At 42.8% G+C, this 18,937-nt stretch overlaps 1 long non-coding RNA gene across 1 annotated transcript in view; it reads left to right on the forward strand.

The window, feature by feature from the left end:
• Window positions 1-18,937, forward strand: part of LOC124902125 (uncharacterized) — a 26,637-nt gene continuing 7,700 nt past the window's right edge. Inside the window, exons 1-2 of the long non-coding RNA XR_007061425.1 lie at window positions 1-243; window positions 17,524-17,748. This is a non-coding gene — a long non-coding RNA (uncharacterized LOC124902125). The remainder of the gene's footprint in view (window positions 244-17,523; window positions 17,749-18,937) is intronic.

Below are 18,937 nucleotides of genomic sequence, written 5' to 3' on the forward strand. Positions count from 1 at the left end.
CACACATGCAGGCTTAGCTCAGGCCAGACCCTCACTGCTAAGGAGTTGCCATTATCATCCCCGATATGGAGGCGGGGAACCCAAAACACCAAGAGCAGTGGGTGCTTAGGAAGCCACAGAGCTGGGAGTAGAGCCCCAGCAGCCTGATCCAGAGCCCCTGTTCTTCACCACCACCCTGCCCTCCTCCAGGGAGCACAATGGGGGTCCCGGAGCCTCTTTCCATCTGTTGGATCTCGGTGAGAGGTACGAATTGATCTTGAATGAAAGCCATGGGCTCCTCACCTCTCTCTTGCAAGATTCCTAATTTTTAGGCACTCTTACTTGGTTTGATATAGCTAAAACTCTGATACCTTTCATTGTCCTTCATGATTTTACCAACCTCCTTGGTTCTAACAATTGGAGTTTAAGAGTTACTATAGAAAATGTTCTGTATTTTAATGTACAATATGATTGCTGGCCATTTATATACAAGGTATAGACTTCAAAGGAACAGAGTAGGAGTGATCAAATGACTGAATTATCCAAGTATTTCTTCCACAATCCCTTTTTTGGTGTGGGGTCATTGTCTTGGTGCATGTAGACATCTGCGCGATAGAGCAACCAGGGGAGCCGCAACACTCAGCCCAGCCTAAGCCTTTGTGTACAGGATCAGGTCCTAAGAGTGACAGCCGGCCGGGCGCGGTGGCTCACGCCTGTAATCCCAGCACTTTGGGAGGCCGAGGCGGGCGGATCACGAGGTCAGGAGATCGAGACCATCCCGGCTAAAAAAACGGTGAAACCCCGTCTCTACTAAAAATACAAAAAATTAGCCGGGCGTAGTGGCGGGCGCCTGTAGTCCCAGCTACTTGGGAGGCTGAGGCAGGAGAATGGCGTGAACCCGGGAGGCGGAGCTTGCAGTGAGCCGAGATCCCGCCACTGCACTCCAGCCTGGGCGACAGAGCGAGACTCCGTCTCAAAAAAAAAAAAAAAAAAAAAAAAAAAAAAAAAAAAAAAAAGAGTGACAGCCATCTCCAGGTCATATTCTTCCAAGGAAAAGTCAGTGGTACCATGAAGGGGCTGGGTAAGCATTTGGAAGCTCACCCAGAAGAGGGGGCCTCATTGGTCCACGCCTGTCCTTCTGAAGGCCCACAGTTGGACCTGGGGCCGCCCCCTCCGGGATGGCTTCGTGTTAATTATGATGCAATCCCCTGGCCATGCAGCCTCAGCAACAATTTCGGGAGTCAGGGTCCATGCGCAAGGCCATTAACACTAAACATGTTTTAATCCATAATTGTGTGAGATTTATTTAATTTAGGGGCTTTATTTATAGTTCGATTGGAATTGTAATGTATTTTCAGCCCTCCGCACTGTGATCTGTCAATTTTTATGGCGTCTTTTAATTGTGTTCTTCCAGGCCAGGTGCAAGCAGTTTTCCAAAGCAGGCTGATCAGAGAAGGCCTCCAATTATGTGTGGGGGAGGGGAAGTGGCCTCACACAGACATGACCCTGTGCCACCACGAAAGCAGGGACACTCATGCTGGGTCCTAGGTCTTCTGAGAGCCACCATTCACTGATTGCAGGCACGGTGACCCTCCACCCCCAGCCTAGCCTCCCATTCCCTGCTCTGGCAGAGCTTGTATGCTAGAATGAGCTTCCAAAAATTCCTCCACTCAGTTTGTTCCTTTGTTCATTCCTTTGTCCATTTAACAAACATTTACTGCGGGTCTACACTGTGGTAGACTCTGTGTTCAGAATAATACAAAGATGAATAAGACGATGGCCCAGACTTCAGGCAACTTATGGTGCCATAGGGGAAGACAAATAAAAAATGATAGAATTTGCTAGAATTTGCTGAGCATCTATCTAGTGCCAGGCATTGAAGAATGCACTAGGGACACAAAGCTTGTGGATTCAGGGGATTTGGTCAAAGCTAATTTATCCTAGAGTAATTTGAATGACTGTAAGTTGGCCAAGACCTAGGTGCAGGAACGCAAGTTTGTTAATACGGCAATTTGATCCAAACACCTCCAGGTCTCTCGCCATCCAAACTGAACAGCTCCTGATGGTGAGAAATACTTCACTTAGTTAAACATGAGTGTGTCTTAGTCTTGTTTGAGTCTTGGTAATTTTCAAACACCATGGGAGTACTTTTGCAATTCTTTATGCATCTTTAAGCATTTTATCTGTTTTTCTAAGTTATTTTCTTCCAAATCATACACTGCCACAAGCAATCAGTATTGGAGTACAGCACCAGAAAATGAAGTAAAAGAAGATGAAGGAATTGAAATGAGGTTCCCCCAGCTGGGAACACACGATGCAGAAAGGCTAATTCCAACAAAACTGGAGAATAATGTACCCCCAACTCTGTGCTAACACCGAGGCACTCAGCGAAGTCATGGGCCTTGTCCATGTGATTCATTGAGGTATCCCGGAACCTAGAACAATGCCTGGCATGCACAAGTGATCAACAAATGTTCAATGAATAAATAATGGGTGGGGATTTAAAAAACAACAACTAGAGACAATGCTTTACTGGTTTAAAAAATGAACGGGTTTTGTCAGGAAACAAGGGAAGAAATCTGTATTAATTGAGTCCCTACTGTGGGCCAGGCACAGAGCTAAGTGATTTAGTTCTAAGTCATTAAATCCTCACAACAGTGAGGTGAAGTATTGTCATTCCCACCTAACAGAGGACACTGAGGCTCAGGGAGCTTATGTAGCTTGCTTAGGGTTACCAAATGTAAGAGCTATAAGAAGAAAGGTGAAGGACGCCCCTGGCTAAGACGGTGTACTTTCCTGCAGGCTTGCATAAGGCATAATGCATCCTAATTCAGGAACAGCTAATCATGGCCAAACATTACTCCAGAAAGAATTTTAAATATTGTTAATGTGTAACTATTCAAAATGCTTTCCTTTTATAGGTTTATAGAAGAATAGTTTCAGGGCTGTAGCAGTGATATCCAGTAACATTCAATATGAAGGAGCTCTGTGAAGGCTAATTTACAGAATCATGGCTGTGCTTTTTTAACTCTTCATGTATATTTAGGCATTTTCCTGTGTTTCCAAATGAACCCTGTTCCTCCTGTTCCTCCTCCTCCTCCTGTTCCTCTTCCTGTTCCTGCTCCTGTTCCTGCTCCTTTAGGAAAGGCTCATGCAATGGAATCTGAGGCCTGTTGGTCATTTGCAAATCTTCATGGCAGTGGGCTCAAGTCAAGGGTGAGAGAGCCATGGGCTCTGATTTGGAAATGACCAAAGCTCAAGAAGCCTACATTCCTCAACATGAGTCCTAACTGAGGCTAAAGCAACGGGACACCCCCACAGCCACAAGACCATCCACCACCCAGAGGTCCTGTAGCTGAATAAAATATCAATCCTTTGGGAGTTAAGGAGAAATATAGCACCTGCTTGGGAAAAACTGGAGAATACAAGAAAATTCAGTGCCATTCACTAAGCACTTATTGAGGACCCCTGAGCTCCAAGCCTTAAGTAGGACGGAGGATTAGAAAAGATAGCAACTAAGACAAGATTGTTCTCAAGAATATTACCGCAAGTGTTGCTAACACTGCTAGCCCTTTAAGGCCAGCTGGGAAAAGCACAATCAGGCAGCCATCCAGGCAAACTGGAGAAAGCACCCATTTAGACATTAGAGAGATCGCAGTTCAAATCCCCACTCCTCCCATTAATACCTAACTGACATGGAGGGAATTACCTAACTTCTCTGAGCCCAAGTCTTCTCCTCAGTGTAACTAAGCTGAAGAGTTCTGAGGTTAAGGGGTGCCTTTGAAAGAAGAGGATCTGGGTGAGAGGAGGCAATGCTGAGGGAGTCTTGCTGGAAAAAGCAGCAATGTGGCAGAGGGCCTGATACAAAGGACACAAGTCACTATTATCCTGGAAGGTTGCACGTGGAGGCAGGTGAAACCTAATCTCCAGAGATTCTCTCATCTCTAGACTCTAGAGATTCTAGAGAACCTCCCAGTTTCTGTAGAGAGTCAGGAAGCCTTTATTTTCTTAAATCCATAGGGATTGATGAGAAGATTCATGGAACAAACGAAGGGCTAGTAGTAGATAAGGCTTTACAGGTAGGCTGGAGCAAATTGAGAAGTTGAGTGCTGTCCTAAGGCAGTAAACTTTATCCTTGAGGAGATGAAGGTTTGAAGACAGGAAGCTGGTGCCTTAGGAGGTTCACACTGGTGGCTGGGGTCTGGGAGAGCAGTTAAGAGGCTATACTGATGGGCCCAGTGAGAACCCACAGGAGCGGGAGGGAAGGAGGAGAGGTGTTTGTCAAGTGAAGGGATACAAGTGAGAATTGTTATTAATGGGATCTGGTGGGGAGAGAAGATGGCTTTATCACTGGAGAGTTCACTGAATTCAGAAACCCAGGAGGCAGACAAGTAGGGCTGGCAGGAAGAGGATCAGCCTAGATTTACAGCTGCCAAAACGAAAATGCTAGAAGGATGCTTGCGTGCAGGGAATATCCTGCCGGCAGCGGGAAAGGGGCACAGGGCACAAGGAGAAGCTGATGGCCAGATGTAGACGTGGGAACCAGCTTCACAAAAGTAAGGGCTGAAAATGTGTCGTTGGATACAAATCCCTAAGGGAGAAAAGGCAGGGAGAAGAGGGTCAAGGCAATACCCCGAAAGACCACTGAGAAATATAGACTTTGGGATGGAGACCAAGAAAGAGCAATCTCAAAGGAGTGAAGGGAGAAGAGTTTCAAGAATGGTGCTGTCCATGGCCAGAAACTGCGGCTGTCATGGGGTATGGAGGAGACAGCATGTGAGTAGGTGACAGCGAGGACACAGGTGACCTCTGTGAGAGTGACACAGTAATAGGTGAAGAACTGACATTGTGAGGGTTGAAGGTCAATGGTTGAAACTGCTGAAGAAGAAGCGGGAGATGACAGGAAGGGACTGGGCCTTCTAGAAGATCTGTAAGAGAGGAGAGGAAGGCCAGGTAGTGGTAGCTTGTAGAGAAAGTTTTCTTGAAGATTTGGTGTTTTCTACAGACACACAGGGGAGGGAGCAGGGGAATGAGACAGACAGGAAGACGTGAGAGAGAAAGGATTCATAGAAGACAAGAAGACAGGCCCAGCAGCCCTGAACAGGACCTGGAAATGCAGAACTCCATGCAAGTCTGACTTCTGGTGCTGAAGAACATCAGCCACTAAGCAGCACAGACAGAGCCCATGCCTGTGCTGTCCTCACACCCAACATGAGGACTAAGTATTGGCTTCATCATCAGTGAGATTTCCTAAGGAGAATTTCACACCGAGGTGATCAGTTGTGTGTTGCGGGAAGTCAGGGACCCCGAACGGAGGGACTGGCTGGAGCTGTGGCAGAGGAACATGAATTGTGAAGATTTCATGGACATTTATCAGTTCCCAAATAATACTTTTATAATTTCTTATGCCTGTCTTTAATCTCTTAATCCTGTTATCTTCATAAGCTGAGGATATATGTCACCTCAGGACCACTGTGATAATTGTGTTAACTGTACAAATTGATTGTAAAACATGTGTGTTTGAACAATATGAAATCAGTGCACCTTGAAAAAGAACAGAATAACAGAAATTTTTAGGGAACAAGGGAAGACAACCATAAGGTCTGACTGCCTGTGGGGTCGGGCAAAAAGAGTCATATTTTTCTTCCTGCAGAGAGCCTATAAATGGACTTGCAAGTAGGAAAGATATCGCTAAATTCTTTTCCTAGCAAGGAATATTAATATCCTGGGAAAGGAATGCATTCCTGGGGGAGGTTGATAAATGGCTGCTCTGGGAGTGTCTATCTTATGCAGTTGACATAAGGACTGAGATACGCCCTGGTCTCCTGCAGTACCCTCAGGCTTCCTAGGGTGGGGAAAAACTCTGCCCTGATAAATCTGTGGTCAGACCGGTTCTCTGCTCTCGAACCCTGTTTTCTGTTGTTTAAGATGTTTATCAAGAAAATATGTGCACCACTGAACACAGACCCTTATCAGTAGTGCTGCTTTTGCCCTTTTCATTGTCATCTTTGTTGGACCCTTATCAGTAGTTGTGCTTTTGCCCTTTGTCCTGTTCCCTCAGAAGCATGCGATCTTTGTTAGACCCTTATTAGTAGTTCTGCTTTTTGCCCTTTGAAGCATGTGATCTTTGTACCTACTCCCTGTTGTTACACCCCCTCCCCTTTTGAAACCCTTAATAAGAAACTTGCTGGTTTGAGGCTCAGGCAGGCATCATGGTCCTACCAATATGTGATGTCACCAATGGTGGCCCAGCTGTAAAATTCCCCTCTTTATATTGTCTCTCTTTATTTCTCAGCCGGGCAACACTTACGGAAAATAGAAAGAACCTATGTTGAAATATTGGGGCAGGTTTCCCCGATAGTTGTGGACTCCATCAGAGGCTGTTTCAAAACTCTTTGCTGTCTCAAAAGTAAGAGTGAAAACAGGTGACTAGGTCCTCACGACACACCTGAAAGTGGGTGTAGTTGTGACAGATGTTGTGTCCCTGTGGCAAGGCCCTAAGTTTCAGATTTCCTGGGAGGTTAAGGTCACATGTTGCGTGCATGCATAGGAACCTTGCTTCTCCGCAGCCTGGGCTTTTCTGATTTGAGAAAGGACAAGGCTGCCGAGCTCCTTTTAAATACTAGGTTCTTTTTATCTAGATTTACATTGCCAGCACTGTCACGTGTGTGTGTGTGTGCATGCGTGCACGTGTGTGTGTGTATTCTAATGGTCTCCAGAATCTGACCTTGCACAGTTCTACATTTTTATTTTAAACTTTATGATTCATGATTATACGAGTACCACATAAATACATTCTTTTTAATTTTTATTTATTTATTTATTTTGAGACAGGGTCTCACTCTGTCACCCAGGCTGGAGCTCTGTGGCACGATTGCACTGCAGCCTCAGATTCCCAGGCTCAAGCAATCCTCCTGCCTCAGCCTCCCAAGTAGCTGGGACTACAGGTATGTGCCACCACACCCGACTAAACATAAAGACATTCTCATGGTTAAAATTTTTCAAGCAAAATAGGTTTTGTCTCCAGCTCCCTATCTAATCCCATCCCTACCAAGGAAAATGTACTTACACATTCAAATATGTAATTATATTTTGTGGGAAGTTTTCCATAAAAAAATTAGATATTGATCTTTGCCTTGCTTTTTAAACTTAGCTACAGGTCTTAGAGATCTTTCCATGTCAGTATATTCAAATCTGCCAACATTATTTTGAAACGATGCGTAACTTGTTCTATAGTATGGATGAAGCATGGTTCATTTAATAACCACCCCCTCCCCATGATGAGAATACAGGTTGCTCCAATTTACAAGAAAAACAACCCCTTTAAAAAGTGGGCAAAGACATGAACAGACATTTCTCAAAATAAGACATATATGCAGCCAACAAACATATGAAAAAATGCTCAACATCACCGATCATTAGAAAAATGCAAATCAAAACCACAATGAGAAGCCATCTCTCACTAGTCAGAATAGGTACACTAAACAGACAAAAAACAGCTGCTGGAAGTTTGCGGAGAAAAAGGAATACTTTTACACGGTTGCTGGGAGTGTAAATTATTTCAACCATTGTGGATGACCGTATGGCGATTCCTCAAAGATCTAGAGGCAGAAATACCATTTGACCCAGAAATCCCATTAGTGGGTATATACCCAAAGGAATATAAATCATTCTATTATAAAGATACATGCACACATATGTTCACTGCAGCGCTGTTCACAATAACATAGGAGCATGTTATGTTCTTGAGGATGGGACCACTTCTCACAACTGCAACCAAAACGGCAGCTGGAATTGGTGGCTGAGTCATCATGCTCATTGGGATTGCAGTGAAAATGGTGTGACCCCTATCATGCATCAGAGGTTGCACAAACTACCTCCCAGTCACTCTGGGATATCTTTGGGAAATTTTTACTTACTCAGAGACCTCTGACTCAAGCCCCCACTTCCACTGTGTTGATGCTTCTTAGGGATCATTTCACCGCCTCAAGTGCACAGTCCCTTTCCTCATAGCACTATTCACACAGGGACTCTTGATAAGGCGGATTTAAAGTAAACCCTTTTTAACAATATCTTAAGGTTTAGTGCTGTTGATAGTGGGCATCCTTGCCTATCCTTGTTCCTGGGAATTTCTCATCGCCTCCTGTCTCCCAGCCAGTTGCTCAATACTCTCCCCTTCCCACCTTTCCCTCTGTATCTTTCCATGCAAAGCAGCTGCTCCATCCCCTTGTTTTCATGTGTTCTGTATAGATGATCCCCTTTACTCTTCTTCCCACACTCACAAAAAAAAAGGCTTGGGAAATTATTTACTAAACAAAGACTTTCCTATCCCTAAGAGGAGCTCCGATGCCAGTGATTAAGGTAACATTTTTTCACCTCTTAAACAGGTAACTACATTATCCTGTGATGCCAAGGTGGTACATGCACCCCAGGTCACATTGTAGGTACTCAAAAGATGTGTAGATTGGCCAGGCAGTGGACAAATGACATCACCCATTGAAAAGAGTGGATTGATGGACTGATTTAAGAGTGGCGGAAAGGAAATGTGTGGAATTTCATAGGTATGTCCCATACTAAAAAGAAAAAAAGTGGATTTTTAAAAACCATTTTAGATTACTTTTTAAATAGGAATTGCTTCTTTTGGACTAAAGTAACAAGAGGCTGGATCTCCAAATTATCTCCATGCCTTGGGTTAGCCAACACCTGGTACCACTGCCAAGTTCTGCCCTACCTTTTCTGAAAGGCCTCTAAGGCAAATTCTCTTTGGAATTCATTGGTTGACCTGCTTCTTAATGTAAGGATTCTTTTTAGTCTGTGAACCAAGTCTTAAAAACTGAACGTCATGAGCAGATGTGAATGAAATTGTGGAACCTTAAAACTTTCAAGAAAGCCAGGAAGTTGTGTTGAACTTAATTTCCTTAGGAGAAGAAAAATAATTTCATAGAAAACAGCCACAACTATGTATTTTCATTGTGTAGCTAAGAAATAGTAGATTCCTTATTTTCATTACATGTTAAAATAAAATATGTAACTACTTTTTTAGCAATAAAACCACCTAAAAACTAATTTGCTATTTGCGTGCACACACACACACAAACACACATTTTACAATGTTTTATTGTCTCAACTTGCCTTGAGTGTTTTTCACAAACCATTCTTTCCCAGCAGAAGCCTTCCCTGATCAATTTTAACATTCAGTGATTTTTTTAAGATCAATATAAATAATCTCTAACATACACACACCAGAGATTGTGAAGAATTTGCTGATTTTGCCCCAAGGGTTCTTCTACCCACGCAAACTGTGTACTCTTATAGTGCTGTGAGGACCATAGGGCAGCCCCTGGGAGAGCCACAGGGAAACTGAGAACTTAAGGAAGGTGACTCATTTAACATTCTATATTTACATGAATGTTCTATATGAAAATGAATTTTTTAATTGTTTGTTTTTTTTTTTTAACTTTTTGGCCAAGCATCTGAACTCTCTTTCTCTGTGTTTGGGAATTCTCCATCACATGTGTTTTGGTGAGAGCATGTATCAGTCAGATAGATTGCTTTATACCCTGGTAACAAATAACCCCTGCAAATCTTAGTGGCTTGCAAAGGTTTAATTCTTGCTAATGCTGCATGCCCCTCATGGGCTCGTTGTGGCTCTGTTCCATGTCATCTTCCACTTTTGGGATTCAGGTTGATGCAATAGTCCAATCTAGAACATTGGTGTTCTTGAGGCAGAGGGAAAGTAGATGGCAGAGCACGCATTGGCTCTTAACGCTTCCACTAGCACACCACCCACAGATTTTCCTCTAATATGCTACTGGCCAAAACAAGCAACGTGGTCAAGCCTGATGGCAAAAGGGCAGGGAAGCGTAATCCTTTCCCCTCGGAGGGAAAAATGAATATTTGGGGGCAAAATTACAGTTCTTGGAGGCAGAACCCTCCTTTCCACTATGGGCCTGAAAAGACTAGACTAGCAGGGATAGCCTAGGATTGACCAATCAGATCCACCCACTTGGACTCTCTGAATTGAGAGTTGGCATTACAAAAAAAAGCAGGAGCAGTGGAGAAGTCATTCTGGGTCTACATGGCAGCAGTGCTGGCTGCGGTATACAACATGCAGTGCCAATGACAGCAGCCAGGTCCTCACTGGGTTAGTTCTGTGATGTCATTTTGGCTGTCATTTGCCTGTTTTTCAGTCTGTCTTATTCCTGTTTGCTTTCTGTGCTTAGTAATGCAGCCTTCTTAGCAATTCTGTGAGCCACCAGTACTATCTATCTTTTCTGTCAGGGCTGTTCTCTGTTGCTTTCAACTAAGAACCTGATTGATACGGCAAGGCTTCCGGCCAACCCAAACCTTTCCTAAACTCAGTTTCTGATCACCAGATGATTATTGCCCTGGGCTTCTTATCCCTACACAAATTAAGAACATATCTGCCCAATTTGCACTAAAAGCTATCAGATAGGAAAGCCTGGGAGGTTCCCAATTCAGCATGGGTTCCCTGCCCTCATAGATTGAGAGGTACTGGGTATTTTTTGAAAGACAATAAATGTGAGAAGGGCCTTGTTAGTAGTTGGAGGCCTTAGTAATCTTGAATCAGGAAGTATAATATTACAGCAAGGTTTCATTAGGGTAACTATATGTTCTGATTTGTTCAGGACAGTTCCTAATTACTACTATTTTGGAACTGTTAATGCCAGTCAATTAATTTTAGTGCCTCCCTTTCACCTTAGACAATAAATTATATATAACATATAATAAATTTTATATATATCATAACTTTTATGTATAATATATCATAAATTATATGTGTGTGTGTAGATAGATAGATAGATAGATAGATAAAACCCTGACTGGTCTACTTCAAGCAGTCCCTTGCCATGTTACACGTATTTTTGTTTATTTCTCAACTATATTGGAAACTTTTAAATTTCATCCTGAGCCACACCCATAGGAAATCAGCAGGTGTGCTTGTTAATTATTAAGGGTATAAGATTCATAAATGGGGGAAGTATGAAAGGTGAAAAGATCAGGATCTCTCTCAGATAAACAGATCTCGGTTCAACTTCCAGTTTTAATGGTCTCTGTTATTTCCTGGGGCCTCAAATCTTCTGAACTTTAAAGCGAGAACAATCATGCTTATTTACAGGTGTTGTGGGGCTTAAATGAGGAAACGTGGGTAAAGTGCTTAACATAGAACCATGTGCACAGTACAGACTCGCAAATAATGCCCTTCCCTCCACAATTTGATCACTGTGAATATTCTGCAGTTCCTATGGCCACCAGGTAGCTGGCCATCCCTGGGCACTTCTCTGTCCTTTGGATATTTGTAGGAGAAACATGATTCTCCCTAACTGTAGGGCTGGATTGAGAGTCAGAATTTAGGTGAGTCACATAGTAGCATTCCTCACATTCTCTATCATGATTAAGTCTTTTCTCTTATTACACACACACACACACACACACACACACACACACACTTTTCTACCACGGCCCTTCTTCCCAATCCAACACAAGGTTCATTCTTTTAGACAGGTAACTTCGTAATAAAATTCCCACACATTCTCATCAGAGCAGCTGGACGGACCGGCACCATTATCTACCTCTCTCGGTACACATAGCTTGTGTCTCGGTCTCAGTCCATTTTGTGCTCCTATAAAAGAATATCACAGACTTGATAATTTATAAAGAACAAAAAATTATTTCTCACGTTCTGGAGACTGAGACGTCCATGATCGAGGCGCCAGTGGCTTCGGTGTATGGTGAGAGCCGCTGTTTCCAGGATGGTGCATTGATACTGTATTGTCTGGAGGGAAGGCACGGCGTCCACCCCCATGGCTGAAGGTGGAAGGGCAAGAGGGTCAAATGCTGCACGAAGCCTCTTTTGTAAGGGCTTTAATCACATTCATTTGTGAAGCCTCGTTTATAAGGACTTTTCGTGACCTAATTACCTCTTATAGGCCCCACCTGTTAATGTGATTGCATTGGCCATTAAGTTGCAACACCTGAATTTTAGAGGGGATGTATTCAAAACCATAGCAGTCTCTCTCTCTCTTGCTCTCTCTATCTCTCTTTCTCTCTTCAAGCCTGCTGTATTTTCCTCTCACATGCAAATGGCCAATCCACTTTATATCTCACAGTCCAAATCCTGGACAGAGCCAGGTGAAACAGCTAATTGTGATCTTTGTGCTAGGCCTCCTCAAAGGTCACCTACCAGCCTAGGAATGGGCTGCCCTTGAGTCAGGTGCCCATGCCTGGTCAGGCTCTGACCACTGTTTTGCGAAAATCAACCTAACACAGCTTGCCTGTGTAGGGGCTGAGGTTGAAGCAGTTTTAACCAGCAGGGGAAGTTGGGCTGGGCAGACACTGTGATGCATATATCATATGTTTGCACTAAAATATTGAAAAATGCCCTAATTATTAAATTCAATGAATGCTTCCCAATTTTTGCCTTACCTGACCTCTCTGGAGTGTTTTATATGGTCGACCACCCACTCTTTGATACTTCTAACTTCTTTACTTTCACTTAACTTCTTTCCTTTCCTTTCACTAGAGTCTAGTTCTCGCGTTACCACTCTTGTCGATCTCTGTTGCTGGTTTCTCTTCCCCACTCACCTTTTACTTTGAAGAAGCAGCTAGCCCATGACATTACCGACATGGACATAACATCTAAGATGTTCTTCATACCTAAGCTCTTGTTCCCCAGTGTTTCTTCAACCTGTACGTGTGTGAAAGCAACCTGGAGGGTGTAGATAGCGACTCAGGGGTTCTGTCTATTAACCGCAATTACAGGGCACTGAAGAGCTCTAGTGCCATGGTCAGGAGTTAGGAGTTATTTACTATTCTAGAGGGAAAGAACTTTGCTTGTTAATATCACAGAATTCCTCCTCTATCCCTGTCCATCACAAATTTTTGAAGTGTTCTCCATATCTACCAACATATGACATATCTACCAACATGAAAGCTGTTCACTTCAGACCAATCATTTTTGTAGTCACTAGCTGTACCTCCTGCTGTAACGTCTTATGCCACTCATCCGACTTTCAGGCTCTCTTGCTGGAAACGAGCCAAAGAATATTTAAACCTAAAGCAGAATTTAAGTCCATGGGTTTTCCTATCTGCTTTTATTTTAAATCTCATCATTTTTATATGAACTTCCCTCTTTTAAGGACATTCCTATAGAAACCAAAAGGAAGAAATGCATCATTTAGAGCTGTGGGGTGAGAGGGCGCGGGAGGCAGATTTCCTTCCCTTTTAAATCAGACTGCCGGGGGACCTAACTATATACTTCCTGTTCTTTTTTTTAGAATTAATATACAGTAGAATTGACTTTTTCTCTGTGTGTAGTTCTATGAAATTTACTACATATATAAATTTGATTTACCACTACCACAAACAAGATACAGTAATGTTTTATCACCTCAAAAACTCCTTCCTGCTCTCTCTCTGCAATCAAAGCCCACCTCCACCCCAAGACCTGGCCATCACTTACATGTCCTCTACCACTATGGTTATGTCTTCTAGAGAACATTGTAGAAATGGAAGCATACAGAGTATAGCCTTCTATCATAGTTGTCTTATGTATTATGTCCACATACATTGAAAATGCCATCAGATGGTGTTGTATTTTTTGCTTTCAAACCATCAAAAAACAACAGAATAAAAATAATATATTAGCCCATATATTTATCATTTCCATTGCTCTCTTTTTTTTTCTTAAGGCTCCAACTTTTCTTCTGGTATCATTTCTCTTCTTTCTGAAGAATTTCCTGTAGCAGCTCTTTTGGAAGATGTATGCTGGAAAACAATGAGAATTCCTTCCTCTGAGAATGTCTTTAATTCAGGTTAATTCTTGAAGAATATTTTTCCTGGATTTAGAATTTGAGTTGACAGTTATTTTCTTTTAGTACTTTGAAAATATTTTTCTACTTTCTTCTGGCTTTCTTGGTTTCTGATGCAAAAACACAATCATTCCAATGTCCCCCCTGTAAGTAAGGCATCATTTCTCTTGGGTTCTTTTCTTTTTGAGATTTGCTTCCTTATCTGTAGAATTCAGCGGTTTGTTGTGCTGCACGTGAGTGTGCATTTCCTTAGCTTTATCCAATTCAGGTTTACCGAGTCTCTTGAATCTGTAGGTTTGTGTCTCTTGTGAAATAAGTTTTTAGCCATTATTTTTGCAAATATTTTTCTTCACTGAACTCTTTCTCCTCTATGTCTGAAACTTTAATAACAGACATGTTAGGTGTTTTGTTGTTGTTTCATGGTTCCCTGAGACTCTGTTCAATGGTGTTGTCTCTATTGTTCAGATTGGATAACTGCTATTTTCCTGTCTTCAAGTTCACTGGATTTCTTCTATCATCTCCATTCTGCTTTTGAACTATCCAGTGGCTTTTTAATCTTAATGACCTTATTTTTCAGGCCAAAAATTTCCGTTTTGTTCTTTATATCTTCTATTTCCTCCTTAAGGCTTTCTAGCATTTCATTTGTTTCAAAAGTATCTGCCCTTATTGTTGGAGGATTTAAATAATCCTTGCTCTTAAATGTTTTTTCTGATAATTCCAACACCTTCATCATCTCTGTACTGGCATCTGTTTTTGTTTTCCCTCATGTAAAAGGAGATTTTCCTAGTTCTTCATAGACTGAAAAAATTTGGATTGTTTCTTGGACATACTGAATATTGTGTTGTATTAGTTATCTCTTGCTGCATTACAAATTACTCCAAAACTCAGTTGCTTGAAACAACATTTATTGTCCCATTGTTTCTTTAGTTTGGGCCTAGTTGAGTCCTCTGCTGTGGGGTCTCTCAAAGGGCTACAAGCAATATGTTGACCAAGGATCTGTGATCTTATCTAAAGGCCCAATTCAGCTAAACTGGTGGTCACTGGCAGCATTTAGTTCCTTGCTGGCTGTTGAACTGAGGACCTCAGTTCCTCTCTGGCTGTTGACTAGAGGCCACCATCAGTTCTTTTTGACATGAGCCTCTCTCACACGGCAGCTTGCTTCATCAAAGTGTGTAAGCCAAGAGGGCAATAAGTTAGAGTACTGAAGATAGAATACAGAGTATAGAGGCAGAACACAGAGTATGCAGACATTGCACATTAGCAGGACAGAAGCCAGAGTGTTTTATAACCCAATCATGGAAGGGATAGCTCAAGATTTTTACCATAGTCTCCCACAGTTAAGGAAAGGGGATATGAAACTCAGTATCTGGGATCATCAGGGGATATCTTAGAAGTCCGCCTACTGGTGGAAGCAACCCAAGTGTCCATCGATGGATGGATGAATAAACAAAATGTGGCACACACACACAATGGAATCATATTCAACCTTAAAAAGGAAGGAAATCCTGACACATGCTATACAACATGGATGAACCTTGACGACATCATGCGGAGTGAAATAAGCCAGACACAGAAGGACAAACATTGTATGATTCCATTTATATGAGGTAACTGGAGTCATCAAATTCATAGAGATGGAAAGAACGGCAAGGGAAATGAGGAATGGGGAGTTAGAGTTGAATGGGTACAGAGTTTCATTTGGGGAACACACAAAAGTTCTTGAGATGGATGGTGGTGATGGTTGCACACCAGTGTGGATGTGCTTTATGCCACAGAACCATACACTTAAAAATTATTCAAATGGTAAATTTTATGCTTTGTATATTTAACACCACAATTTTTGAAAAAGAAGTCTGCCTACCACACATGTTACGAGATTCTGGGTCTTGTTAAAATCTTATGGAGAATGTTGATATGATTTTTAGGAGGCATTTGACCTCACTGGGTTTAGGCTGCAAGTTCCAACCAGCCTTCTGAGGGTGATAGTTCCATCATCAGTTCAGTGTCCAAAATCGTTGCAGCACTGTTTGGATCTGTCCCATGTGTGCACCACGCAGTAGCCAGTTTGGGACATAGTCGACCATCTATCCCATAACACACTTCTCAATGTCTGTGCTGTGCAGGGTCAGCCCCGTGCATGCGCTCCTCAGGGGTAAGCTCAGGAACTGCTAACTCTAAGGGGTCACTTTCCCAAGGACCTCCCTCTCCATGTCTCCCTGGAACTTTTCAGCCTGGCCTTTTCAGTCCTCCGGCTGGAAGGCTGGTGCTCTGCCCTGCACCTACTGTCACTGTGCTCACTTCCAGGGCCAAGCGGTGGGAGGACAGATGGAAATAAAAAGCAAAAGGGAATTTGCCACCTTCTTGGGACAATGGCTCCTCCACTAAGGCAGGAGGATTCCCTCCCGCAGAGTTTTCACCCCTGACGGTTCCTGCTGCCACTGCTTCTTATGTGGGTTTGGGGCAGGCACGAGAAAATGGGCAAAAAAGAAAGAGAAATAGGAAATTTCTCCCTCTCTCTCTGAGCATTTGGTGTTTTCTTCTCTACTCCTTGACTGGAGGAGGGTTTCTTCTAGAGACCTCTCTGATCACACCCTGATGTCCACTTCCGGGTTTTGGATTTTGATGAGTTCGGCCCAGGGCATCCTGGAGGGGAACAAATGGCAAAGTGCCGCTATTTCGGTGGGGCTTTGGAGCCTGGTCTTCGTCCTCGGCGCTTCTGCTTACTGTTTACTTTTCAGAGCCCTCAAATGGCTGACCCATGCACCTGTCTGGGTTTTAAGCTGTGATCAGTGAGAGAGATGGGGTGTGCTTACCCCGTTTTAAGCCTGGCTCTGACTTTGGCATTTAACAAAGGACTCCATCCGCCTTCCCACCCCCATTCCCCAATCACTCACCCAGTTATGCTATTAATATGAATTGAATGCCTACTATGTACCACAAACTATGAGGGCAAGAGAAACATTGCATCTTGAAGGTATTTAGAACACAATCCCATCCAAGACACAGCTTCCTAGATTTCACCTACATTTCACCTTCCTGGATTTCACAACTTACTGGCTTCCCACGCCCCTCCCCTCCCCGTTTATGCTCACAGTAGATATAAGAAAAGTGAGTGGGTTTTGTGTTTTCTTGTTTCCTTGAGAAGGCAAGTACATATATAAGCCTGAAACCATCCTTACTTCCAAGCTCTGTGGGTGAGGCCGAGGGCTTTGGAAAGAGTGATATTTTCAAACACACAGGTTTGTGGTTTTTGAAAGAACAGAAAGCATAAAAGCATAACATCTTGTAGGATTACTTTCGGCTGAAGACCAATTGATGTGACATCTGAAAATAATCAAATAAGTGTCTTGTTTTGAGCCTGCAAATAAGTTTGTGAAACTTTGGGAGGAAATTCTCCACTTATGGAAAAAAAAATAAGAAAAATTGAAATTGAGATCATGGGGTAAGAACAAAGAACGGGAATTATGAGAGTGCTTTGAATTGTTAATAGCATTTATATTTGTAAAAATGAATCTCTCTAAAAAGGTGGAAGTGGCTAATAATCTTAAATCACCTAACACGGCACATGCCCCAAACCCTGATAACCTCCAAATTCCATTGCTTATAATCATTTTTTGGAGCATTCCAAAAACTCGAAGTTGCTGCACAATGCACGGAACTCTGGATTTAAAATTTTTGAAGCCCTTGATTTTTTTTTTTTTTTTCCTGAAAGATCTTACATTTGGAAAGAAGTCAAGGTATAGTCTAACCCCAGAAGATCAAAATATATTGAACTTTTTTTGTAAAGATGATAACAGCCAAGAAAACAAAAATTGAAGTGAACACGATGATGAAGAGAGTAAAGAAAGATAAAGACAAGGCTGAAGGTGGCATTCATAAAAGTCCCAGCGCTGAAGGGAGAGGCTGTGCTTGAAGAAGAAAAAGTCTGCTAGCCACGGTAAGACAAATTAAGACGGGTTGGTGAGGATACTCTGAGGCAAAGAAAATTCAACGTTATCAAAAACCCATGCTCAAGTTAGGAGAGACTGCAGTAAAGAGAAACTTCCCTCTTGCTTCCATGGTTAAAGGGTGACTTAGAGTTCCTGCACTGTTTCATTAATATACAAGTCGAGTGTTGCTAATACCAGTGGGGATGACAGACAGTTTTACTTTGTGAATTTCTGGTTTCTAATGATGCATTTGAGCTTTATTTTTTACAGCTGTCCTTGTCTTAATCCTTTACTTTTTTCTCCCTGGGGTTTAATGGTTTCTAGTTACATATCAGCATTTTAAGCAGCATGTTGCCCGTCAGGCAGCACAAGGCTTCTGATGGTTATGGCATTTGGGTCACCACTAGTTCTCTGGAAGGACAAGTGCTCCTGTGAACAGCACAGCAAACTCCCTCGTATGATTGGAACACGGCAGCGCAGGTTCAGGGCGCATGCTAGAAATCCAACCAAATGCCTTTTGCAAACAGCAGCTCAATGAGGATTCCTGCCACGAGGCAAAATGCTTGGAAAGTTACTATGCGCTGGCATCACTGGGTTTGGGGTCAGCATGCTGAAACCGGGACTCATTATGTTCCTACCATGCCAACTTGGTGCAATTAGCCTAACACGATAATTTCCTGAAGCCATATGTTGATCTTTAGGGGAGGTAGGGGAGGGAAAGCTTCATACGCCTGATGGCTCTAAGCTCTGACTGGCATGTCCCAGCTTCCAGCAAATTTCTGTAAATCAAGATAACACACAGCAATCAAAGATGAGGTCGGATGGCCAGCCTGGACAGAGAGAAAACTTAGAGCAGGGTTATGTACTTGTTGCAGAGAGTGGGGCTTTTTCTTTTCTTTCCAAGGAGGGTTTCAGAGAAAGGTCATAGGGGTAGCACTGTGTGTAAGGCTGTTCCTCCCCACCCCGCCCCCACCCAAATCAAATCAACAGAAGGACCTAGAATACAATAAGTTATGTTCCAGGGCTGCATGGCCTGTATTCCCATTGGAGACCTATCAATGTGAACTAGCACTGTTGGGAAATCTCCTCAGCTACCCCTGTTAATCAATACCTCTGTTCATTATACAGCTTTGATGAATATGGCTAATGATTGGGTGCCCAAGAGTCAGGTGACTAAAAATAACTGCTCCTTACTGA

Source organism: Homo sapiens, chromosome 9 (assembly GCF_000001405.40).
Source record: "Homo sapiens chromosome 9, GRCh38.p14 Primary Assembly".
Taxonomy (NCBI): Eukaryota; Metazoa; Chordata; class Mammalia; order Primates; family Hominidae; genus Homo; species Homo sapiens.